The 27524-nt window shown below is 42.2% G+C and overlaps 1 long non-coding RNA gene across 1 annotated transcript in view; it reads right to left on the bottom strand.

Moving 5' to 3' along the window:
• LOC101929563 (uncharacterized) overlaps positions 1 to 27524 on the bottom strand; it is a 171709-nt gene that overhangs the window by 42481 nt on the left and 101704 nt on the right. Inside the window, exons 12-14 of the long non-coding RNA NR_121602.1 lie at positions 11324 to 11446; positions 9369 to 9759; positions 7571 to 7734 (exon numbers count right to left, since the gene is read on the bottom strand). This is a non-coding gene — a long non-coding RNA (uncharacterized LOC101929563). The remainder of the gene's footprint in view (positions 1 to 7570; positions 7735 to 9368; positions 9760 to 11323; positions 11447 to 27524) is intronic.

Consider the following 27524-nt stretch of genomic DNA (forward strand, 5'->3'; position numbering starts at 1 on the left):
GGGGCAGCAAGGAACAGACAAGCATTTGCTGAAGATCTCTGCCACAACAGTGAGACTTGTGATTCCCAAGAAGCTGCTGCAAATGTCAAGAACCTCCAGGAAGCTCCCTCTCCCTATCTCAGCCAGAACATGCAACTAAAGATTTTTTAAAAGCCGCATTGTCTACCTCCACTGCCTGGATCACAAAGCAGGTAATTCACAGGAGCTTGCTATAAGCTTCTGCAAACCTCCTCTGTCACCGGTTCACAAATCTGCATACACTGCCTCTGGAGTATAATGGCCTCTTTTTCTGTTCACCTTCTAAATCTGACATGATTGGCTGTCATGGGCAGACCCTAACTTGGAACCATGTGGGGAGGGGGATCCTGGAAGACATGTCTCTAGCTTCTCCTCTATAAAAGCTTAGATGCAGATGAAGGTCATTTGAAGCTGATAACAGATGACTCAGCACAACACGAAGAGGCCCAGGCTTGCGAATGAATGAGTAAGTGAACCTGAATCCCTGAACACTTGAGGTAGCCACATTTTCACACAGCCTTTTAAAAACTAGTCAGAAACATTCTGGTGGCCGAGAGACAGAACCTTATTTGGGGACATTGTAAGGGTTAGACCTCAGCTGATCCCTAAAACTTAATGTTTCTCAGACTTATGAAAGAAAAGAAGAACCTGGAAGAAATAACGCTCTTTGCAAAATACTATGTTCTGCCAAATACCTTAAAATATCAGCATAGTGAATTTCATCATGTGAAGCAGGAACAATTTTACTAGGAGAAAAACTCTGTATGTAGAACTGGGAGCCCACATGTCCACAAAGAAACAAGCTGTCAAACCAAGCATGATCAACTGTTTCAGAATTTTTCCATTAATATTCATTTGCTGCTTGTTCATTTCTTTGGTCGTCTGCTAGTGCTTGCTACCAGACAAGTGGTAGCAGGCATCAAAGTCAAAGAATAAATTTTGGGATAAAACATTGAGAAAATTATCTCCTCTAATATGACAATGTTTTTCTCCCTGCAAATTTTGAAAGGATTGCCACTACCCTTGACTAATACTAGCCATCTCAGCCCAATATTCCACTGGGCAGTTTTATAAGGTAACGAATTTGGATCAAACCTGGAAGAGTATTAAAATATGGCCAGGTGCAGTGGCTCACGCCTGTAATCGCAGCACTTTGGGAGGCCGAGGTGGTCGGATCATGAGGTCAAGAGATCAAGACCATCCTGGCCCACATGGTGAAACCCGTCTCTACTAAAAATACAAAAATTAGCTGGGCGTGGTGGTGCACACCTGTAGTCCCAGCTGCTGGGGAGGCTGAGGCTGGAGAATCACTTAAACCCAGGAGGCAGAGGTTGCACTGAGCTGAGATCATGCCACTGCACTCCAGCCTGACAACAGACAAAATTCTGTCTCAAAAAAAAAAAAAAAAAAGAAAGAAAGAAAGAAAGAAAAAAGAAAAAAAGAGTATTAAAATATTGGCCTAACAACATTTTAAAAGATAAAGTAGGCCAGGCATGGTGACTCACATGTGTAATCCCAGCACTTTGGGAGGCTGAGGCAGGTGGATCACAAGGTCAGGAGATAGAGACCATCCTGGCTAACACGGTGAAACCCCGTCTCTACTAAAAATACAAAAAATTAGCCGGGCGTGGTGGCGGGCGCCTGTAGTCCCAACTACTCAGGAGGCTGAGGCAGGAGAATGGAGTGAACCTGGGAGGCGGAGCTTGCAGTGAGCCGAGGTTGTGCCACTGCACTCCAGCCTGGGTGACAGAGCGAGACTCCGCCTCAAAAAAAAAAAAAAAAAAAAAAGATAAAGTAAATGGTAATAACTTGATACCCAATAACCTATTCCTACTGGAAACAAACCTTAAAGATGGGAATCTCTAAAAATTTTTCCAAACCTGAGATTCTTTGAACTGCACATCTCTAAAAGTTCTTTGCCAGAATTTTCTTCTGAGTGGCTCAAAATCATGGAAATTTTGCAGAACTTTTCAACACTATGTTAGAAATCCAATGCAGGAAGTAAAAAGGGTCTTCTACTGGAAAAACAAAAAAAAAAGTATAGACATTAAAGCTGAAAGAGTGGCTGGGTGTGGTGGCTCACGCCTGTAATCCCAGCACTTTGGGAGGCCGAGGCGGGCAGATCACCTGAGGTCAGGAGTAGAGTATTTTCAGTAGAGACTAAAAATACCAAAAATTATCCGGGCATGGTGGTGTGTGCCTGTAATCCCAGCTACTTGGGAAGCTGAGGCAGGAGAATCTCTTGAACCCGGGAGGCAGAGGTTGCAGTGAGTTCAGATCACGCCACTGCACTCCAGCCTGGTTGATAGAGCAAGATTCTGTCTGAAAAAAAACAAAAAAAAAAACAAAAAAAAAAACAAAAAAAAACGCTGCAAGACTTTGAGTACATTTGTGGTGTGCACATGTACATGCATGCGCAAGTGGGTACTAACTAACATTTTTAGCAGTTCAAGGGCATAGTCCAGAGTTTTGACGCTGAAGTATCATGTATGGGCATTAAGAGAGAAATGAGGTAGACCCCTTCTCCTAAACCTGGAAAACAAAGAATGGGACCTTGACTCTTCCCAGATGAATATCAAATATATTTATTTTAAAATGTGTGTGATGGACTGTCTTGCTGTAACTAAAACCGGATGATGAGAAAGGACATCATGCAGCCTCATAAAGGAAACTGTCCAGAAGGCGGGACTCTGGATTGTGTAACCTGGATCCCACAGCAGGGTCAAGGTCAGTGGAATTATAAACAGGCTATACACTAAAACTTGACCGGGCCAGCCTGGTTCAGTGGATGACTTCTCATTACCCTTAGAATAAAATCTAAGCTCCTTACTATGGTTTGTAAGTCCTAAAGGACTGGGCCTCTGCCCACCTAGTACTCTCCTTCCTGTTCACCAAGTTCCAACCACACTGGCATTCTTATGTTGGCTCAAATATACTTAACTTATTCCAACCTCAGGGGCTTTACACCTGCTATTTCCTCAATTCTTCACTTGCACACATCTTTTGAAACAGAGGTCTTTCCTAACCACCCTACCTAAAAGAACTTCCATCATCCCAACCCAGCCATGGTCTTTCCCATTTCCCTCCTTTATGTTCTTCATAGGACATGCTATCATCTGAAATGAAAATATAGGCATACTTTTTCAACTACCTCTCCTGCTAGAACATAAAGGCCACGAAAATGAGGATCTTATCTTTCTTAACCACAACAGGAATGAGTTGAAAGAGTTGTACCACCAAGAGAGATAACTCTTAGAGCACATTCTCTACTGTGTGTTAATTTATTTTTTTTGTCATTCAAAAAGCACTTATTAAGCACCTACCCTATGCCAGGCACCATTCTAGGTGCTCAGGATAAAGCAATGAACAAAGTCCCTGTCCTCCTGGAGCTTACATTCTAGTATGCAGAGATAGTCAATAAACAAATATAACAATATCAAGTATGCTTATGAAGAAAAAGAAAGCTGGATGCAAAAAAATGATACATAATTGGTATTTCATGTTTTATTATATATGGGGTATTCTGTAAAGGCTTCTCTGAGGAAGTGACACTTAAGTAGAGAGCTAAAAGAAGTGAAGAAGCTACCATGTGAGATCAGATAAGAGTAAATGTTACCCCACACAGAGGAAATAGGAAGTGCAAAGGCCCTGAGGTGGGTGTACGGTTGGCAGGCTCAGAGAACAGCAAGGAGGCCAGGGTGGCTGAAGTAGAGAGCATGAAGGGGACAGGGATAGAAAATGATGCTGGTTCAAGTGCAATGTCTCATGTCTGTAATCCCAGGATTTTGAGAGGCCAAGGCGGGTGGATCGGTTGAGCTCATGAGTTTGATACCAGCCTGGGTGACATGGCAAAACCCCATCTCTACAAAAAAAAAAAAAAAAAAAAAAAATTACAAAAATTAGCCAGGTGTGGTAGCCCACACCTGTAGTCCCAACTACTTGAGGAGCTGACGTGAGAGGACTGTTTGAGCCTGAGAGTTAGAGGCTGCAGTGAGCTGTGTCACACTACTGCAATCCAGCCTGGGAAAGAAAGAAAATAAAGAAAGACAAAGAAAGAGAAAGAAAGAAAGACAGAAAGACAGAAAAGACAGAAAGACAGAAAAGACAGAAAGAAAAGAAAGAAAGAACGAAAGAAAGAAAGAAAGAAAGAAAGGGAAAAGAAGAAGGAAAGAAAGGGACAAGGGAGAAACAAAGGAAAGGAAAGGGAGGAAGGAAGAAAGGAAGGAAGGAAGGAAAGAAAAGAAAGAGAAAGAAAGGAAGAAAGAGAAGTGTCTGTTCATATCCTTAACCCACTTGTTGACGGGATTGTTTGTTTTTTTCTTGTAAGTTTGTTGGAGTTCATTGTAGATTCTGGATATTAGCCCTTTGTCAGATGAGTAGATTGCAAAACTTTTCTCCCATTCTATAGGTTGCCTGTTCACTCTGATGGTAGTTTCTTTTGCTGTGCAGAAGCTCTTTAGTTTAATTAGATCCCGTTTGTCAATTTTGGCTTTTGTTGCCATTGCTTTTGGTGTTTTAGACATGAAGTCCTTGCCCATGCCTGTGTCTTGAATGGTATTGCCTAGGTTTTCTTCTAGGGTTTTTATGGTTTTAGGTCTAACTTGTAAGTCTTTAATCCACCTTGAATTAATTTTTGTATAAGGTGTAAGGAAGGGATCCAGTTTCAGCTTTCTACATACGGCTAGCCAGTTTTCCCAGCACCATTTATTAAGTAGGGAATCCTTTCCCCATTTCTTCTTTTTGTCAGGTTTGTCAAAGATCAGATAGTTGTAGATATGTGGCATTATTTCTGAGGGCTCTGTTCTGTTCCATTGGTCTATATCTCTGTTTTGGTACCAGTAAAGAAGACATTTATGCAGCCAAAAGACACATGAAAAAACGCTCACCATCACTGGCCATCAGAGAAATGCAAATCAAAACCACAATGAGATACCATCTCATACCAATTAGAATAGCGATCATTAAAAAGTCAGGAAACAACAGGTGCTGGAGAGGATGTGGAGAAATAGGAACAGTTTTACACTGTTGGTGGGACGGTAAACTAGTTCAACCATTGTGGAAGTCAGTGTGCTGATTCCTCAGGGATCCAGGACTAGAAATACCATTTGACCCAGCCATCCCATTACTGGGTATATACCCAAAGGATTATAAATCATGCTGCTATAAAGACACATGCACACGTATGTTTATTGCTGCACTATTCACAATAGCAAAGACTTGGAACCAACCCAAATGTCCAACAATGATAGACTGGATTAAGAAAATGTGGCACATATACACCATGGAATACTACACAGCTATAAAAAATGATGAGCTCATGTCCTTTGTAGGGACATGAATGAAGCTGGAAACCATCATTCTCAGCAAACTATCGCAAGGACAAAAAACCAAACACCGCATGTTCTCACTCATAGGTGGGAATTGAACAATGAGAACAGATGGACACAGGAAGGGGAACATCACACACCAGGGCCTGTTGTGGGGTAGGGGGAGGAGGGAGGGATAGCATTAGGAGATATACCTAATGTTAACTGACGAGTCAATGGGTGCAGCATACCAGCATGGCACATGTATACATATGCAACAAACCTGCACGTTGTGCACATGTACCCTAAAACTTCAAGTATAATTAAAAAAAAAAAAAAAAGAAAGAAAGGGAGATGTTGGAGGTGCAATAGGGTCAGATGCAGAGAGAAGCCTGAGGGAGAGGTGGGGTTAAGTGTATTTGAGCAACCATAAGAAAGGTACTGTGGCTGGAGCTTAGCAACCAGGAAGGACAGCACTAGGAACCTGGGCTGATGGGCAGAGGCCCAGTCATTTAGGACTTACAGACCATAGTAAGGAGCTTAGGTTTTTAATGTAATGTTATAAGAATGGAGGCTTACACTGAGGTCTTCAGAGAATCAAGCAAGGCACTGCGAAAGCAGGAGCTTGAGGTCTGGCCAATCTCAATCTCTTTGAGACTTTCAAGGTTCCAGCATGAATCTTATCAGACACCATTACTTAATCAGATGCCCCTTTGAGGGCTGCATCAGGCTTTTAATTCTCCTGGAGGAGGCAGCAAATGAGCAAAGAGGAGGACACCTCTGTACTAGCATTGCAATCCTGAGGACTGCAGTGAAATTTAGGGAAGAAAACAGATGGAGGTCAGAGCCTCTGTGACCCAGCTATCAAAGAAACCATGGGCCTATTTTGGCCTTATTTAAGTACTCTCCGATTACTGGGAACTGTTATTTGTGAAATACATGTATAAATGGGTTTGCATGTTCACTTGTACATCACAGATATTCTCTGATATCTGAGTAGGGACAAACTTAAGAGTCCACATCAAAGCCTTCATTTGACATTGAGGAAGCTAAAGCCCAGAGAACTGAAGTGTTTGCCACAGTATGAACAACTGTTTCAGAGTCTAGCCTGCCTTTGTCTTCTCCCATGTCTTCTCCTTTGTTTTCCCTGACACTGCCTTCTGTTTAACACATATAATCCATATAGTTTAGGCCCATGGCATGCCCGTCTAAGGAAAAGAGCGTCAATTAAGCAGGAGAAAAAACTGAATTGCTGTTTTAGGCATGAAGTCTTAAGAGGGGACTGACTGTAATAAGCTAGTGTTTTCTTCTTGCCCTATACCACACTGTTACTTCCTTCCACACTTCGTGGCTCTTCAGGAACTTGCAGATTACACCGAATCCCAGAGAATGGAGATCCCATTAGTAGGAAAAGAAGGGTTGAATATTTGCTTGAATTTTTCTCTCCCAAATGTACCCTTCAAAGCAGAGTTCCGCCAGTCAGGCCCAAATAATCTTACTCTGTGGCTGAAGGGTGCCCCGTGGGAGTGTCTGTGTGTACACAGTGGCTGGCAAACATCTGATTTTTTCACTTAGCATCACTCTACCTGCTTTGACCATTTTCATAAGACCAAGCCTGGACAAGGTGACTGGCCTAAGCCACATGACTATGTTTGTCTCCCTGCTCTCACAAATGCTCAGTCGACTTAAAACTGGCTATCTTCAAAGATATGCTTGAAACAGAGGCGTTGCTACTTGAAGATTACTAACATCACTCCCTTTCCTCATATACCCTTTAACCATCATTAAGCTTCAGTGTTCTTCCCTCTTCATTGTTCCACCTTCTCCATCGTATCTCCTCCCATTGTTTCCTTGGTCATTCATTTATCAGAAACTCCCAACTCTTTAGCAACAGTTTGGAACTCTCTCCTAACTTCCAAACCAATGCCTAAGTCTTACAGGGAGCACATTCTGCCCATTTCCTTCCCTATCTGCCCCCCTACCACCACCAATTTTTCCAGAAAATCATTCCTCTTCCTCCTATATTTAGTTAGAAAACTGCACTACTATAGATACAGTCTCCCAAGCTGCAAATGTTTCTCGCGTAGCAAGTTAGTCACTGTATCTTTTCAATTCTCTCACATCTGCCCTTGCCTCCACCACTACTGCCCCTGACCTTCAGTCATCTCCTGCACAGACTTTAACAATGCAGTCCTAATCATTCTCTTTACCCCTTGTAAACCTACCTGCAAGAGGCAATAACTCACCATTATTGACTGACTTCAAATGAATGTGACACCGCCCGCCTCGGAAGGAAATTCCCAAACAGGAATCCAACAAAGCTTGAACATAAACATGGGTTGTGGAATAGCACCTGCCACAGTTTCTTCTTTGAAGAAGATGATAGTTGAATGTACAAGTGTAGGTAAGTCTGTCACAAAGAAAATCAACCTCATCACATTTCAGGCACATGCTCAATGGAAGGGAAGGAGTGTCGGTAGACTTTAGATTTTAAGAGATCTTTGGGGGACTCCCTAGTTAGATGGCTTTCAAGACACATGGCCTCTCCTAGCTTCCATCTTCCCATCTGGAAATTCAGATATTAATAGTGCTCACTTGGCAGGACTGTTATATTATGTGATAATGTGTGCAACGCAAATCTCTCTCTGCCTGATGCAAAGTAAATGGCATGAGATGCCTTTTTTCCCCCCCTTAGCACCTCCTGGTTACTTCTCCCTTTATCCAAGCTCCTGCTTCTCCACAGCAATATTGTACCTGAGCAGAGGATTCTGGATGATCTCACCAATGTGCTAACCGTGAGGGCGATTTAAGGTGAGCAGCCTTTTCTTCTGAGTCTCTTGCCTGGGTGTTGGGCAAATGCTTCCACCGGCTGGCTGACATATGTGGCCTGCTGCAGACTAATTTCTTGTGACATGTTGCCTTGAATGCACAGTCACAGAGCATGTGCTGAAGTGCTAAACACCCCCAAACTGTGCACTTTCCAATCTGTGAAAGCTTTTTGGTGGGTCCAGGCTTTTTTTCTAGACCTGAGGCATTATAATGAGGAAGCACATGGACACGTCATTGAGGCAATCTGTCACCTTGCAAATGCTTAATAGCAGCAGCAGGACCTGTGTGTCCCTCTCAGTGAGCCAGACACCACCACACAGCTGCTCTTCTGTTGAAGTTGTTGCTGCATTAATGAGCTTCCAGACAAAGGCATGACTGTGTGGTGTGTAGCTCAGGGTCCGCACGCAGGCTGGGAGTAATGCACAGAGGGAGACCTATGCTCAAAAATAATACTTCATTTGCAAAAAACTGGTTTGGAGCCCACAGGAATTACTGTGTTTCTTTAGACTTCAAAACTTGTAAAGGCCGGATCATCCTCCTGCAATATTTTACGATAACAGTAGCATGTTAACAGTTATCTGATCCTCTAGGGTTTATAGTGTTTTCACACTTTGAACCTCACCATATCACTGTAAACGTATTGTTTTACGGATGAGAAAATTTGAGTCCTTCAAAGGTTCAACAAAATACACAAGTTCATGTGGTTAATAAAAGGCAGGGACAGCCCTTGAATGGAGACCTGTATGACTCCAGGTGCTTGACTTTCTGAAGAATTATCACCAGACTTACTCTCAGTTCCCCCATATGTACTAAGATGTCACTGAAACAGCTAAAAAGGAAGCTTCTGATAGAAGGAGCTTTCAAGGGACTGAACTTCTCCATTAAGATTTTAAGTCCTTTATCTGCCAGCATGTTAAAGGAGACTAGGGCATCCCAGACATTTTTCAAAAGCTAAGCCTTACACCCAAAGCAGGTCCTTCCTCTGCCTTGCTTATGATGATGATGTAGGAACCTTATGTGATACCTCACACCACCAATATAGGAGAGTAACAACTGAAACAGAACCAAGAATATAGAACAGATGTAGAAATCAAACCCCAAACTACCTCTACTACTTCTACGACTACTATTAATAAAATAATAATGCAGATAAAACAGCAATAACAAAAATAACAGTAGTCAGCATTTCTTTAGCCTCTACCATATAACACTTACTGTTTGCATACATTATCTTGAATTCTCCCAACAATCATCAAATAGGGGTTGTCGTCCCTCTGCAGATGAGGACACTGTGGTTCAGAGTGGTAAAGGAACTTGCTGGAGGCCACAGAGTTTGTACATGGCAGAATGAGGCAAGATGCTCAGGTGTCCCGACTCCAAGGCTGTGCTATTTCCATTGGGCCATACTTGCCTTCTCTCAAGGAGATAGATAATCACCAAACTAGTGAGTAGTGTTCAGGAGGTTAGGAATCCCCATAACCCAGTGTGGCCAAGGCTGACAAAGCCTAATAGGTGCATAGCTGCTCCTTCTGATCATCCAAGGCTAACAGTTATCCTTCAGGACCCAGAAAATGGGTTTCAATAACCTGCTTTTAATTTTCTGTGCCTGGCCAAGAAATAATGAACAAAGGGACAACTTCTAAAAAAAATCTGGCTTCAGGTGTGAGTTCAATCAAATCCTCTGACAGTGTGTTAAAGTATCTGTGTATGTGCACACACACCCACATTCATGCCACACAGGTGTAGGATGCGAGCAGAGAACAGTAGGCTGATTCCATGTCCTTTTCTGCCTCCTGACAGCTATGAAACTACAAGTGGGTAGATTATAGTTGAAGATAAAAATAGACATTATACTGCCGCTTTCTCTTCCCAGCTTTTTAGTCGCTCCAGCTTGAAAGCATATTGTAGCATTTTATTGTAGTCTAGGCTCTTGTGGCTTCTCTTGTTTGCCATTCCTTTTTGGAAAACTAGAAACATTCCCTCTCCATGGGGAAATGAACTCAAGTAAGTGAGAGAGAGGCGGCAGAGTGCGCACATGTGTGTCTGTGTGTGCCTGCTTGTGTGCACGCTCATGTCCTTCCACGCCTGAGGGAGGAAAGGAGGTGGAATGAGTGCATGTGTGTGCCTGTGTCCCACTGCCTCTAAGAGAGGAGAGGAGGCAGAGTGTGAATCTGAATAGAGCGGAAATTGGAAATTGACACAGCTGTTTTTGTTTCACTGTAACCATTTTTAGAACCTCAGGATGCACTAAGCTTCCAAAGGAGGCAGCCCACTCAGCCTTGGGATTCAACACTAGCCAAGAGTGAGTAGTGATTTGAAGGCACTGGATGCATCATCCCAAGGTCTACAGTAGACCCCTCATCCAAGCATTGCAGGTCACTTGGTATAATGCATATTCGGTGCCCTCTTTGTGTGGCAGTTAAACTGAATTGTGCAAGTAGTTGCACGTCAGGTCTCATCCCAAACCCTCTCCTTTCCGCTTATCATCTCCATTCTTTCTCCCGAAATTTTCTTTTAGGGGCACAATGTTCCATGTTTCACGCTTAGGTTCCCTGGACAACAGCACCGCCAGTCAGTGTAGCTATGTTTTATAATACACATTTCTGTGCCCACTGCAGATCTACTGAATTTGATTCTATCAAGAATTTGAATTTTAACAGCCTACTCCTGGTTATTAGTGTCATAAGCACTAAATTTTTCAAATGCCTAATAAAGCAGCAATAAAATCAAGACTTCGGAGTTGCACTTGCCTGGTATCAACCACTGAAATATTCAGCCTCTCATCACCTTCACTAGTTCTACCACTTTATACCCAGGAAAAAATGAGAGCCATTTACAAGCTTTGTGACCCTCATCAACTCCCAATTTCTCTGGGTTTCATTTCTTCATCTTCAAAATGGGGATGATAATGGCACCTAGTGTATAGGGTTGTTGTGAGAATTATATGAGAAAACATATGTTAACACAGGGCAGTAGTGATCAACTGGGAGTGGGGTGATGTTGCCCATCAGGAGACAACTGACTATCTGGAGATATTTTTGGTTGTCATATAGGAGTAGGGGTGCTACTACGATGTAGAATAGAAGCCAGGGATACGGCTAGACATCCTATAATACACAAAGAAGCCCTCCACAATAAGGAATTACCAGCCCAGCATATCAATCCTTAACATTTTGAGAAATCCAGATGCGAAGTTCAGCACATCAGGACTGGGTTCGAATTTTAGATGCCACCAATCTGGCTGTGTGATCTTGGGTAGATTGCTTAGCCATTTGGAGCTTCAATTTCTCCATCTGTAAAACAGGGATAAAAAATCCTGTCTCACAAGGTTAGTAAGAGTTCAAAGAAGTAATTTATAAAATATGTTTGGCATATTTTCAGTAGGGTCCTTTCTTTTAGTTCCTCTTAAAAGAGGCTGGTTTCCACATTCCTAATGACCTAGGAAGCCTAAGGCTTCCTTACCTTTAATTCGCAAGTGAGGTACTTTATGTGTTGGCTCAAGGCAGGGCACAGATGGCCCATCATCTGAGCATGCATGCATGGCCAGGCCCTGTTACTGAGGTTAGGAATCATAGGGCCCCCTATTGGGCCATGGCTCTAGGACAGCCCCATAGACAGCCACAGGCTGACATGCTTACCCTGAATGCACTATTAACCCCATGATCCTATTTTTATATAATGAAAGAACCAACTTATTTTGTAAAAAGAGCATAAAGCCTAAAAATAAATCTAGCTAACAAGGTGAGGTTTACCATCTAGAGAGAAGAGAAACATTACACCCTTTAACATTTAGGCCATTGGATATAGGATCCCCCAAAATTACCATCAGCTACTTATTTATCCACTTAAATGAGAGAGAGCAGAGGTGTAGATAAATCAATGCTGTTTTAGATTTTATTTGTGACCTCAAAGAGCACATAAAATCTAAAACATTGCATTGATTTGTCTATATCTTGATGCAAAAAGCATCAAGGATATGCAAGATCTTGGTGTACCCTTCCAAACATGCTGTTGTTTCTGGATGTCTCATCCCAGGTACTCTCATGTTAAACTTGGCACTGCTGTCAGTGGAGTAGGAGAGGCTTGGAATTTCACTACTCTGGGGGCAACCTGAACCTATGAAAATCACAAACATACAGCAGTAAAATTAACTTGCACTAGGAGAGAGATGTGGAGACCTCCCCATAACCTCACTTCTCTCCAAGTCCCAAGGCCACCCAAGTCATCTTCATTCCCCTACTTTCTAGCACAATCAATTCCAACATCCTTTGTCAATTGAACGCTCATTTTTTTTTTTTTTTTGTCCACCTAGTGTACTCAAAGTACAAAATGACTAAGGGCATGGTTCAAGCCCTCAAGGAATAGTAAAGGCAGAGGAAACAAGATCCCCACTGCCCCCAAAATTAAGGGCTGCTGTGCCCTAAGAAAGAAAAGATGCAAATCAGAATCAGGGTTCTTAATATTTGTGTTTTGAGCCCAGTGACACACCTCCCTCCTGGGAAGGGGAGAGAAGGGAGTTGCGTGAGTGGCTCTGCTATAGGATTTTTGCTCCGGATAGAGATGGAAACAAGCAAACACTACACAACTGCTGCCACAGCATGGAGCCTGTGATGAAGTCAGCAGGCAGGTGCCGCCTCACTCTCCCTCATCCCCCTCATCGTTATCACACACAGCTGCATCAGCTTTTACTTTTCATTCCGGTCAAATACACTGTAAATTCATCCTGCTCATCAGGAAGTCTCCTGTTAAGGAAATGAGACTCTGACGCGATCCCAGCAGAGTGCCAAGACCAGAGAAGCTCAGACCCCCAGTGGCTCTCTGCCTGAGGGAGACTTAGCCACACAAATGGAAGGCTGCTTTTGTCTTTCTGGGATGGTGGAGGGGGGAGCAATGCTGCCTTCCAGGGCTACCCCTAGCGTGGGTCTCAGAATCTTGAGAATAAAGGACCCTGCCTACGTTTTCTCTGTACTGTCAGCTTTGCCCAGGAAAAAAATGTGCTCTCCATCTACCCTGGGTCGGGACAAAATGCAATGTTGTGTAATCCTATGGCAGCCCTTGAAGTATGTAGGTAGTATCTTCATTTTATAGTGGAAAAGAAAATGATTCTCAGAGAACAGAGAAGGGCCTCTTTCCCCAAGGAGGCCTCCTCAGCTATAAAATTCACTTTACATTGAAATATGTGCAAGTGGTTAAGAAAGAATCTGATCTTGTTACTCCTTTGCTTAAAACCCTCCAAAAGCTTCCCCATTGCCTGAGGCAGTACTTCTCAACCCTGGCTGCACACTGGAATTACCTGGGGAAATTTAAAAAATGCCAATGTTCTGGCCCCAACCCAGACCAATTAAACCAGAATCTATGGGGGTGGAACTCAGGCTTGGCACTGGTGTTTTTTGAAAGCTGCTGAGCAATTCTCAAGTGCTGTCAAGATTAAGAACCACTGCCCTAAGGGATTAGTGTCAGGCTCCTCAACATCTCTTGCCGAATCCTCTGCAGCCAGGCCCTTGCTTATTTCTGTGGCCCTATCACTCACCACTCTCTCCTACTCCCTCCTTAGCCATTCTTCATCCCTCCTCTGCCAGCTTGAGCTTCTCCAGAGGAGTTACACACTCACGCCTCTTTGCTTTGATGCTCTACCATCGATCTCCCTAAAATGCCACTCCCTCTCTTCACCTAACTCCTACTTGTTCTTTCAGATGGAGCTCAGCACTGCTGCCTCCAGGAAGCCTTCCCTGACACCCTCTAGTGATCCTCCTAGGTGCTCTATATGAGCATACCTCTAGCACTCCCATACATTGCAGCTGATTTTCACTTATCTTCTCCCTCCCTGGAATGAGTGCCTTGACCAGAACAGATCCTATGCTTCTGCTCATTCTCAGTACACAGCACCAGGGCACTCAAAAAGTTTGTTGATCCAAAAGAATCGAGAGTAGGGACTCACACACACACTCATCCTTGTACACCAATGTTCACAGTGGCATTATTCACAATTGCCAGAAGTGGGAAACAACCCAAGTGTGCATCACAGATGAACGGATAAGCAAAATGTGGCATATAATACATACAATGGGATATTATTCAGCCTTTAAAAAGAAGGAAATTCTGACACATGTGCAACATGGATGGACCTTGGAAATGTTATACTAAGTTAAATAAGCTTGACACACAAGGATAAATATTGTACATGTATGTGAGATGCCTAAAATAGGCAAATTTATAGAGACAGAAATTAGATTAGGGGTTACCAGGAGACAGGGGCGTGAAGGGGAAGGGGTAATGGGAGCTGTTTAGTAGGTACAGAGTTTCTGTTTGAGATGATGAAAAAGTTCTCAAAATGGGTAATGGTGATGGTTGCACAACATTGTCAATGTACTTAATGCCACTAAATTATACACTTAAAAATAGCTAAAATAGTAACTTTTATGTTATGTGCATTTTACCACAATTTTAAAAAGAAAAAAATTGCTGAATAAATAAATCACATTGTACTTAGAAGAGCAACTAAAGCCTTACTCACAGCCCCTTACACCATGTGATGTGGCTCCTGCTGTCCTCTCTGATCTCATCTCCTACCCTTTTCCCATAAACATTCTACTCTGACCACATTGCACTCTTGTTTTTTCTGCAAAAATACCAGACTTGTTCTCTCAAGTTCATTGCAATAGCTTTCCAGTGCTTAAAATGATCTTCTTCTACATCTTCATATGGCTTCCTCCCTCCCTCTTAATTATGTATCCTTCCTCAGAAGGACATGACCACTCCATTTCAAACTGCTAACTTCACTCCTGCCATCCAAATTACTCTGTGTATTGGTTAAGCTAATGCTTGCTGATGTCATGAACAAACTCTAGAATCTCAGTGACTTAAAACAGTCCTAAACTTTCGGGTGCATCCGGATCATTTTGAGGACTTTTTAAAACACAGTTTGCCAGACCCCACCCCTCCAAGATTCAGTATATCTAGGGTGGGGCCCATGAATATCCATTTGTGGCAAGTTCCCAGGTGCTATGGCTTGAATGTTTTTGTCACCTCCAGTTAAAACAATCCCCACTGCAACAGTGTTGTATTAGTCCATTTTCATGCTGCTGATAAAGACATACTGGAGGCTGGGCAATTTACAAAAGAAAGAGGTTTATTGAACTTACAGTTCCATGTGGCTGGAGAGACCTCACAATCATGGTGGAAGGTGAAAAGCACGTCTCACATGGTGGCAGACAAGCCAAGAGAGACTGTGCAGGGAAACTCCTGTTTTTAAAACCATCAGATCTCATGAGACTTATTCACTATCACGAGGACAATGCAGGAAAGACCCACTCCCATAATTCAACCACCTTCCACCGGGTTCTTCCCACAACACATGGGAATTGTGGGAGTTACGATTCAAGATGAGATTTGGGTGGAGACACAGCCAAACCATATCAAGTATTAGTAGGTGGAGTCTTTACTTTAGGAGGTGAATAGGCCATGAGGGCTCCACTCTCATTAATGAGATTAGTGACCTTATAGAAGGACCAGCCGGAACTAGCTAGACTCCTTTTCCCCTTTTGTCCCTTTTACCATGTGGGGACACAGTGTTCAAAGTGCCATCTTAGAAGCAGAAAACAGCCTTCACTAGATACCAAATCTGCTTTGCTCTGATCTTGGACTTCCCAGTCCCCAGAACTATGAGAAATACATTTCTATTATTTATAAATTACCCAGTCTTAGGTATTTTGTCATAGCATCACAAACAGACTAAAACCCCAGGTGATGCTGATGCTGCTAGTCTAGGGACCCAATTTTGAGAACCACTGGTTTAACACAGTTTATTTCTCACTCACATGACCATTCTATATGGGCACTTTGAGCTGATAAGTATTCCTCCATCCAGTGATTCAAGGATCCTGTGGCTCCACTTCTTTTAACACAGTGCCCACAGTTGTCCCAGGAGTGGTCTCCCTCCAAGTCAACCAAAATAGAAAAAAGCATGAAGGACCATACATTAAAAATTGTTATGGTCCATGCCTGCAAGTGGCATGTCACTTCTTTTCACATTTTATTGGCCAGAACTCAGTCAAATGACCACACTGAACTGCAAGGGAAGTTGACAAATACACTCTATCTTTGTGTCCATGTGAAAGAGTAAATGGGATTGGTAATCTACTATACCTACCAGCCCCTCATGCTATTATATTTGTCTCCATAATAAGGCCTATCTCTACCTGATATGAAATCACATATTTATTTGCTTACCTTTTAATTGCCTCTCTTCATGAGAGTGTAAGCTACACAAGGGCAGAGACCCTCTCTTATTCATCACTGTATTTTCAGTACCTAGTACAGTGCTTGGAACTGTGAACACATAAGACACCAATAACTATTTCTTGAATTATTAAATGCATTTTTGTGGGGCACACTCTCTGATGACGTCATATTTACCTCTTCTTTCAGATGCTCTGGAAACCATATTCTTTATCCTGCTTATGTCACTGAGCCGCTGCCATCAGAGTAGGCCCGTGTTTACTTAAGCCAACATATGGGACAAGTTTTTCTAATAGCAGTAACAAACTTATGTTGCCCTCACAACTGCTCTGTCCTGAGCATAGCGGTCATGGTGTCTTATCATTCCCAATGTCTCTTTCTAGTTCACCCTAGCGGCCTTCTTCGTAAGTGACAAGAAGAGCCCCCAAGTTCATTCCCAGCCAGGCTGAGGACTCATGAGCTGGTCTAGCATAAAGCAAACTCTAAATGGACTGATGGTAACTAAGACAGATAACTATCCTGTGGGATTTGAATTAGAGCAGTTTGGAAATTAATCAGCAAAACATAAAAGAGTAAATACACAGAAAGAAGTAGACACACTCTGACTGTGAAGTAGTGACAGTCAAGAGAGATGAAGCAACTGCCTTGGATCCTCATAGCCTTCCTGTTTCAAATGTAGTAAATTGCAGGATGTCTTTAAAATAAACCCCATTTATGAAGGGGTCTAAATGAGTAACTGCTCCTCATTTGGTTATGGGCCTGACTAAGCTGAATCAGTACCTGTTGACAAGATAGCCAACAGTTTAGTAAGGGGGCTCAGTGAGGGGTTAGCACATTCATATGCCACTTAAATGTCATATGAATGCCAGTTTAACAAAATGAACTGCTCCACCCAGAGATGGTATCTAGGTCTACATACTCCATCCAGGATATTAGTTGCTCCCTGCCCTCATTACCTTATACTAAGGATAACACAGCAGTTTCTTCACTACCTTCCTCATCTCTTCTGCACCTTTTCATCAGATTCATCTCTCATAAATCACGACTTTTGCTCCAACACTCCCCTGCTCTGAACCCTCCATGTTTTCCCACAGATCACAGAACTAACATTTAATTTACATTTGTGTGATAAGAATTCTTCCAGGGCTGCATATACATTGTCTCACTTAATCCTCAGACCAACCCTAGAATTAGGACCACCATCTTTATTTTGCAGCTATAGTGATTGGATCATGAAAGGAATGAATAAATTGCCCACAAACATGGAGCTAGGAACCAGCAGAGCCAAAGTAGAAACCCACGTGTGCCTGTTTCTAAAGCTTCTCCTATTTACAAATAGTATGCATTCTTTCATTCATTCAGATATTGGCTGAGTGTCAACCATGTGCTGGGAATTATGCTAGATACCAGGATTACAATAATTTACTGATAGATAAAGTATCATTAGTATTAGACAGGGAGTCTGAATGCTAAGGAAGCAAACTGAGGGAACTCTTTCAAGCCTAGCTTCATTGCTCAGGGAAGCCCTTCTCAAGGCAGTGTCATTGAAGTTATCTGAAGGTCGAATAGGAGTGAGCAACCTGCTTTCTATCAGGAACATAATCCTGGTAGTAAAGAGACAGCATAATGCCTTTCTCTCTCTGACTCTCATAGACTGCTGGGCAGGGAAGAGGGAGGCTGGGGGAAGAAGGGATGAAGGGAAAAACCCGAAAAGACCTATTAATTGTCAAATGATATCACCAAAGCATATTTTGTATTTCAACGATTCCTATCCTTTGGGTTTCCAATTGTTCCTGTGTAATTTTAAACTAAAATCTATTTCCTTACCCAGCAGCATCTCTTTCTTCTTCCATACAGAGATGCAATTTCATTGCTAGTCTGTTGGCAGTGCTAATTATATTCTCCCTAGCACATTCCTGATGGCATGGAATTAAATAAGGCAGGTGTGGAGGTGACAGAACAAAACAAAATATATGACTTATATGACAGACTGATTGGTCTGGTGGAGGACAAGGTAAAAACAGCAAATGTTATTCTATATAAAGATTAGGGCAAAAGGCACAATAGAGTCACACTTTTATACAGATAAATCACACCAAATTGAAAATAATTTTTAGCAGTTTCCTCTATTATAAATGTAGTCTGAACACACTGTCTTACTGTTTTCAGCCTTTCACAAGCTTCTGATTTACCTTCTATTTAAGATGTCTCCAAATTAACAGAGAGAACTATTTTGATAGAATATTCAATTTTGCATTTACAACTTGAAGGTTGATTCACAATCATCACTTCAACATCAGAGTGAAAGTAGAAATTATAAACATCTTTATAAGAGCTTTACCAAATGGGGACAAAAATGGAAAATAAATTCTGGATAAGAGGCAGAAATAGAAAATCTGGGCAAATAAGTCAGACTGTACATCCAAACTGGATTAGATAAGTTTCGTAAGCGATAAAATATTTGTGGGAATGGGATGTCCCCAAATCAGAAAGCCTGACTTGTGGTTTTGCTGATGCCTCCCATAAAAGAGAAACTATAATTTCAGTCATATGCATATATACTATAGTTGTGTGTTCACCAAATCCCATTTCCTTTTCTCCCTGGGTTCATCTTCTGTGCCCATATTCCCAGCCTCCCCTAGATGAGGTGTGGCCTCGAGACTGAGTTCCATCCAATGAAACGTGAATGGAAGACCTAGGGGAGCCTGGAACCATGAATGAATAAGCAGAGCACAGCCATCCCACCCCTCCACACACATCTGCCCTGACCCACATTAGACCGCAATGGAAGGGAGCAAATGCCTTAAGTGACTGAGCTTCCAGTGTTGTTTTTTTTGTCCAGTAGCTGACCAACCATAAGTCAACCAAAGGCATGACCAACCAAAGGCAGAAATGACACAGGGCCCACCATAGTAGACCACAATGTTGTAGGCCATGAGTTAACCTACAGATGAACGAGTTAACTGCAGATGTTCTAAATGGTTCTACTGGATATCGATGGTTGAAAAACTTTATATTAAGATATAACAAGGTTTTTGAATAAATTTCCAAAGGCCAGAGCATATAAGAGGAACCAAGTTATAAAGGAGGAGTGGACAGAAGGAAAGATGAGTAAGGGGGTAATGCAACTGGTACCTAAGATGCCGCTTCCAAATTTGTGAGCCCCTGAAAGAGGTAATCAGGTTCCTCTTTGTCTAAATGCCTCATGTATGCACCAGCGACTAAAGTCCAAAACCTCTAAAGTTGGCACTAAACACTTTCCATAATCTCATCCCTGCCCAGCTCTTTAACCCATTTATGCTGGAGGTTGCAAATTTTTGTGTGTGAAAAATCAGACCTTGGCAATGACCTTGAGCAGTAGGGAGGATATAAATAACTCCCACAAGCTTAGCATTCCAATGATGGAACACTAGGCATAAATTTAATCTTCAACTACTATCTATCCTCTGCTTGACCCACCCTGTATTGCATGTGTTTCCTTAACAACTCCCACCTTATGCCTTTATGTGTAACATTCCCTTTGTAAGGTGTACCCTTCCCCCACCTCATTTACTTTCATAATTCATAATCATCTTTCCAAGCTGAGCTTAAACCACATCTGCTGATACCTATTCTTCCTAGGAAACATGCTCCTTAAGCTGGGTTCCCATAACCTTTTTTTCTTTTTTTTTTTTTTTAGACAGAGTTTCGCTCTTGTCACTCAGGTTGAAGTGCAGTGGTGTGATCTCAGCTCACTGCAATCTCTGCCTCCCGGATTCAAGCGATTCTCCTGCCTCAGCCTCCCGAGTAGCTGGGATTACAGGCATTCACCACCATGCCTGGCTAATTTTGTATTTTTCGTAGAGACGCGGTTTCACCACGTTCAGCAGGCTGGTCTCGAACTCCTGACCTCAAGTGATCCACCTGCCTTGGCCTCCCAAAGTGCTGGGATTACAGGCATGAGCCACTGGATCGGCCTCCCATAACCCTTTATAACCACATGTATCACAGCACTTATGAAAGTCATCATTGTTGCTCTTCATTCTCATCCTTGGCTAGATGGGTATGTCCTTGATGACAAGAATGACGTGTGATGGCTCTTTCCTCCCGTTGGCCTGTTGAGTATCTTGCCCCTTGCTCCCCCCACCCCACCACAGTAACAAACAATAAGTGTGTGATTGAGTTGAAAACGAGGCACTTCCTGGGGTGTACAGTCCAGATGTGACTAGAGACAGTGGAATGCTGTGAAGATTTTCCAGGAAACCTAGGAAATATGCCAGCAAAAGAAGTCCACTGCAGCTCTTGAATAAGTTTTGCTTTACAGATTGTCAGTCAGTCAGTCAGTCTTGAGGTGAAATTACACTTTTCTGTAAGTACAGATGTCAAAGGAAAGCAAGCTTAGGAACGTATACATTCTCTAAAGATGGCTTAGAATGTATACAAATAAAAAGTGAACATGACAACCTGAGAAATAAAAATAAATCTAGATCAAATGACTTCTTGATTCCAAAGGCCACCCCTTCCTGACTTCACACATTAAAAATATTCATTTTCCCGTTAAAGTGTGTTTTTATTCCACTGTTAAAATGCAAGTACCAGAAATATCCTACATGTACAATAGGGGCATGGTTAATTACATCATGGACTATCCAAAGGAAGAAATTGTAATGGCATAGAAAAATGTTCACTTCCAATTTTGACTAAAAGGACCATAAAAACTCTATTGAAAGTATGAACTCAACAATATATTCATTTTAAAATATATTCATATATATATTTTGAGACAGAGTCTCACTCTGCCACCTAGGCTGGAGTGCAGTGGGGCAATCTTGGCTCACTGCAACCTTTGCCTCACGGGTTCAAGCGATTCTCCTGCCTCAGCCTCCCGAGTAGCTGGGGCTACAGGTGCGCACCACCATGCCCAGATAATTTTTGTATTTTTATTAGAGACAGGGTTTCACTATGTTGGCCAGGCTGGTCTCAAACTCCTGACCTCGTGATCTGCCCGCCTTGGCCTCCCAAAGTGCTGGGATTACAGGTGTGAGCCACCACATCCGGCCGCTATTTATATTTTTAAAAAGGAAAGAACTGCAACAAACTGCTGTAATTGTGGTTTTATAAGAGCAGTAGCGTGGATGGCTTTATTTTCTTCCATATGCTTTTGCATATTTTTCAGGTTTTCTATGATAAAGGCAGAATATTTTTATAATTAGAAAATGCAAGGATGCTCTCTTTTGAATCCTATTCCCACTTCTTTATAACTGTGACCTTCATGCAAGTACTACACTTCTCTACTGCTTCAGCTTTCTCATCTGGAAATGGAGATGATGGTTCTTTTTAGGGTTTTTATAAGATAATCATGAGGTAGTCCACATGAAACACTTAGAACAGTGGATGGCATACAGCAAACCTTGATAAATGTTACCCAAAGTTGTTGCATGTGGAAGAGCCCAGCGGGGGTTCAGAAACTGAAGCAGCGAGGTCAGATGGGGAGAGGATAGGCTCAAATAGCAAACCTTTGTCCCCTACGGTTTTACTCAAGACTGCTCAGGGATTCAAACCTGGCAAATTATTGGTTCCCTGTCATGCAATGCTCAGTATCTCCTTTGCTCAACACAGCTGCCAGAGAGGAAGGAAGAAAAGATCAATTTTCAACTTTATTCTCCATTGTCTTTCTACTTTCTCACCGCACCCTCCCTTTCATTTGTATTTTGTCTTAACTGCCAATTTTGGGCTTAATTGGTAGAAGGCAAAGAAGCTCAAGTAAAACAAAGCTCAGCAGAATATAAAGAGAAAAAGGACTAAAAAAATGAAGGCATGAATGGCTGTCTCAATTCTATATAATCTGAGAAGCAGGTTGACATGGCACTGAAACATATATGACCTCCTATTGAAGTGGGCTAATGTTTCATTTACTGCTCCAATTTTCTCATGGCAGAGATAATTTACCTGTGTGATGATTACATAGTGCCTCCAGTGTCTCAGGAACTTTTGCCTACTGTTGTATCTTGAATTTGGGAAATCTGTCTGCTTTCAAAGTACTGAAGATAACTTGAGAGGCAAGGCAATCTCATTTCCCGTCCAACACAATTGCAGACTTGGGTTCAATCTATTAAAGTCAATTGGTAGATTTGCACAAGTAGTCTAATTAGAGATATTCAGATAGCAGGCACAGGTTCCGTTTGCATTCTAGGATTTTTAAAAAAATCAATGTCCATGCACAGGAAGAAAACTGAACACTTATTTTAAAGCCACAGATTACAGCAGTGCCATGTACAGAAAACCAGTAGAGGGGCTATAGGTCAATACAAAAATACTACCGCATGGGGAAGAATGATTAGAAGGGACGGGCAGAGTTTTCACCTCCAGGTCACAAGTTCAAAATGCTGCCCAGCCCTGCCTGTATGATGTTTATAACCCACTGACAGTCCATGTAAAAAGGGCCGGCTCAGAGACTATCTTTTCACCAGAAATGTCGTCCTTTCAGGGAAGAGACTGAGAAACAATAGGAACCCCGCAAATGAACTCACCTATGCAGCTCCTCGAGGTGTATTCCACCTGGCACAGCCATGTCAATTGCCCATTGACTAAAGCCCATTTCCGGCGTTCTCGACCCAGGCTCTGTGGCTGTGGGCCCTGGGAAGTTGAGGCTTCCAGGGGGACACTCAGTTAACATCTCTTACCTTACATCCTGACTTTCAGCCACAGAGTCAGAAAGAAGGAAGGCAAAACATAAAAGTACTTCCAAATGTCCAAATAAATCTCCTTCCTCCAGGTTCCTGGGGCTCAAGTTCTTCTGAGATACTGAATCAAACTAGCAACTAAAAACTGTAGATGAAAGATTCTCTAAAATTTAGCCTTTGTTTAAACAGAAAACGAGTATTCATTAAACCATAACCATGTGACACCACTCTATGAATTGCTTTCCTAGACTTCCTTCATTTCACAAACATTTAATGGAGAGTTGCTAAGCCAAAAAGCAAATTAAAAAAAAATTAGGATATATGGATGAGGGAATATATTCCCTGTTGCAAGAGAGTCTGCAGGAGTCTTCAATTCTTAAGCCTGTGAGGCAATTTTTACCTCGCATTCCCAAAAGTATTTTAGGCAACTGAGAGTTAGTTGGCATCATCATCACACTGTTATCATAATCATTCCCATTGCATAGAGTTGAGAACTGAGGCTAAAAGAATTGGAGTAATTGCCCAAGATCACACATCTACAAAGTAGCACAGCCCATAAGGCAACATAGACTATCCAGTCACTGGTTTCTGCTTACAACATGCCACCTTTTATTATAATTCAGAAATTCTTTCTCCCTAGTCCAGGTTTACCCAAAAGCTTGGCAAGATCAAAAGGAGACAACAGAATACTTGATACTATTCTAAAATCTCAAGGAAAAGAAAAAATAAATTTTCTTTGAGTATGACAACACAAACCTTTGGAATTAGTCAGTGCTACCTCTAGGGGCTGCAAGTCCTCCTGCCCTAAGAGTTTTCATGTTGGATTAAAAATAATTAGTAGCATTCCACACTGTGCAAAGCAGAATCAGAACACTGCAATCCTCACCATGTGGGTGGCCAAGAAGAAATATCCTTCCCTTTCAGAGAAAGTCCAAGGTAGAGAAGCTGTATGGCAGGGTGGAGAGGGAACAGCATCTGTATGAAACCCACCTGAGTGTGAATCCTCAATCTACACCTGGTAATTCTATAACTCGGGGCATATTAATGTTAGTGTCCACATCTGTAGAAAAGTGGTGATAAATCCCATTTTGCAGGATTGTTGACAAGATGCTTGTAAAGCACCGAGAAGCATCCTAGGACATGGTAAGAACTCAATAATTGGATGCTATTATTTTTGTTCCTGGTCCTCCTAAGCCCCTGGAAATTGATATGCAGTGGAAGCAGTTTCATGGCACGTTCCATGGAATTCTCTATTCTGACTGCCTGAGAACAGCATGCTGATCTCCTCTTGAGGTACACACACCCTCTTGCATCTGAGCAGTCACTCACTATACATCTCTAGGGCCACCCATAAAAGCTAAAAAAAACCCTCAGAAGTCACCAAGAAGTTGTGCTTTATAGAGTGCAATTCTCTGACCCAAATCAGTCTTTGCCTTTGAATCAGTTTATGCTACTAGTTATTTAGTAGATTGATTGCTGCTATGGCAACTGCACATCCCTCTGCACAGACACAGGCATAAGTCCTTGATACAATCCTGGCTTAGTTTCTCTGGCTGCATTCAGTACATGCCAAAAATTACATAATATTGGGAAAATTAATTTCTTTCTGCACTGTAGGCACTGGGGCTGCATTGTGGTGCAAAGAACAAATGAAGCCTGGTGTATAAAGCGAGGGCTGTGCTTCTCGTCCACCAGCTTGGAAGGAGAGAGAACTGAAGAGTCCCCAGCTGCTTTTTGGCCACACTGCTCACCTTCGGTTTCCACGGTTTCTGCCAAATATCAAGGCAGGATGTGCCCAGAGACTGCAAACGCCACTTGGCAGTGATTAGGAGTCTTTCAGGAAAGCTTTCCACTAAGGTAGGAAAGTACAGGTTTTTCTTACATTAGAAAGAGTTGGGTAAGGATTCTGAGCCTACCACTTCCTTAGCTGCATGATCTTGGGCAAATCCCTTAAACTCTGAAACCTCAGTTTTCCCATCTACAACATGGAGAACTAAGAATAGCATCTGCTCCCCTTGGTTGTTATGAAGATAATATGACACAACAACCCTGGCATGTAGACAGACTCTGATAACTGGCAGGTCCATCTTTCTTTATCTTCCCTTTAAAAAAAATTTTTTTTTTGGTTCTTTTCTTCTGATTAGTAAGAGATATTATTAGGCTCATTGATTAAGGAGCTGGTTCTATGCTGTCCTTAAATATTTCTAATTTACAGGCTTGAACTTCAATCAAATTCTGCTAAGTGTGTCAAGTTTGCTGTAGAATATAGATCAGTGTTTTTGGCTGGTTTCAGCCCAAGAAGACAGGCTAGATCCCATAAGTGAGTTTTGCTCTGTTCGATTCTGTCACCTCAGCCCTCCCCCCTTTTCCCCCAGCTTCAACTTCCTTAAAATGGCAGTTATTTATTATGAAGGAGGATGGAAAACTAGTGTGTAAGTAAAAAAACTGCACCCACTTCTCGAAGAGTCCCTCACCTCTCATATTCTGAGAGAGGCTAAGCACTGTGATCATTGTTTGCTGAGGAAGCCATGTTATTAGCAGCCATGCTATTTCTGTATCTGGAGACGCCAGGAACACTTACAGAAATGCTTCTAAACCATATGTTGTTTTTATATTTTAACTACTCTTTATGTCTATATAATTTGCATAAATACAAAAATAAATAGCTGTCCTGCATTTCTCTGAAGATTGTAAACTCCAAAGAAAGAGGGAAAAATTTTCCCATGTATCAGCCTTAATGGCAGAGGACTTGGTATTCAGTGAAAGTCAGCAAGACCAAACTGACTTTCTGGGATTTCATAGTTAATCATTTATGACGCAGATAGTCTCCTTGTATGTACTTTCTACCATCAAGGTTGAGAAAGCATGGCATGATCAGACATAAGACCAGAAATATCATTACACCATAAACCAATACCAATTTCATCAAGTTATTCTGAAGATCACAGGATTCAAGGTCAGTTACCTGGGATAAAACAATTTATATGAAGAAATGCTTTGGCCACAAATTATAACAAACGAGAACATGGCTCTAAAACCAGAGAGGCCTGGGTTCTGGATTTAACCCTGTCTAATTCTCAATCTCATCTTCTTTAAAAGTAATATTTAGTTACTTGCAGGGTTGTACAAAGTGATGGTTAGGAGTGCAAACTGTGCAGTTAAGAATGTCTAGGTTGGATTCATGGCCTGTCCACTTAGTGTTCAGTGAACCTGATCAAACGACTTTACCTCTGGAAGCCTGTTTCTTCCTCTGAAGAAGAGAGGTAGTCATGGCCCTATTGCATGGGTTGTTGTGAAGATGAACTCCTATTATCTACGTAAAGTGCTTAGCACAGGGACTGGCATGTAAGCGCTCAACAAATGTAGCCAGTGGCGGTTGTAGAGTAGTAGCAAATGAAATGATGGGTATAAAAAACCTGGCTTTTAGTAGATTTTTTAGAAAATGGAAACGTGTGCTGTCAAGAAAATTCCAGACCATTGCAAATTTCTTTGGAATCAAAAAGTTGGACAGGGACTGACTATGATGAGAAAGGAATCCTCTTATAAATCGGTCCTCCATTGAAGTGGCTTCAGTGCTAGCAGAACAGTAAGGGGGTAGTGAAGTCTGGCCTGTATGCAGCCTCCCTAGTTCTGAAGCGATGCCTGCTGGAACACATAGGCCAGGGGCTTATTGCACTCTACAGGCCCAGGAGTGGGTGATTACTAGCTACTGCCAAGGATGATGGGGAGAGGAAACACAAAAGCAAAATTTTAAGTGAATCGGCATAACGGGGCAGTGCCAGGAAAAAAAAAAGAAAACATCAACGAAAGGCCGGCCAACCACCCTCTGAGAGCAACGGGGTGGTTTCCTTTGAACACAGGGCCATCTCTGAGGCCAATAAGGGAGCTCCACAAGAGTTACAGCAATAAAGAGAATAATGATTTTTTTATAGACACCTAGCCTAGATCGGATTGCTGGTCATGCTTTTTCTGTTTTGTTGCTTCAAAGATACACCCACACACCTTTGGCAGTGTTATCCTCAAACGACAAGATGTTACTTCTAAGTTGCAAGACCTCAGGCGCTATTTGTCCTCACCCACACCCAACTGTCTGCCATCTTCAGCACCAAACATATCCCTGAGGACAAAAATGGCCCTTCAGTTCCTGAGTCGTTTAAACTGAAAAACCAGTTAAAGTGCCATTCCCAAAATAAAACAGAAACATGGCCACTGGCATGAAATATTTACAGCTGTGAGACAAGGGGGAAAAAAAGCCTCACTTGACCTGGTAGTCAGGGGAATGATGTAGCTACACAGGCCTGTAGAGAAGCACTTTGGCCTAAAATCGTTTTCTCTTTTGGGATTCCTACTGGCACCTGTCACTGAAGCTAAAGACCCAAAAGTCATCTCCAATTGGTCCATTCTCTTACCCCTATATTTAATCTCAAATGTAGCTCCATCTGTTCTAAGTCTAACATTTCCTAAATTGGTG

This window comes from Homo sapiens, chromosome 9 (genome assembly GCF_000001405.40).
Source record: "Homo sapiens chromosome 9, GRCh38.p14 Primary Assembly".
In the NCBI taxonomy this organism is placed as follows: domain Eukaryota; kingdom Metazoa; phylum Chordata; class Mammalia; order Primates; family Hominidae; genus Homo; species Homo sapiens.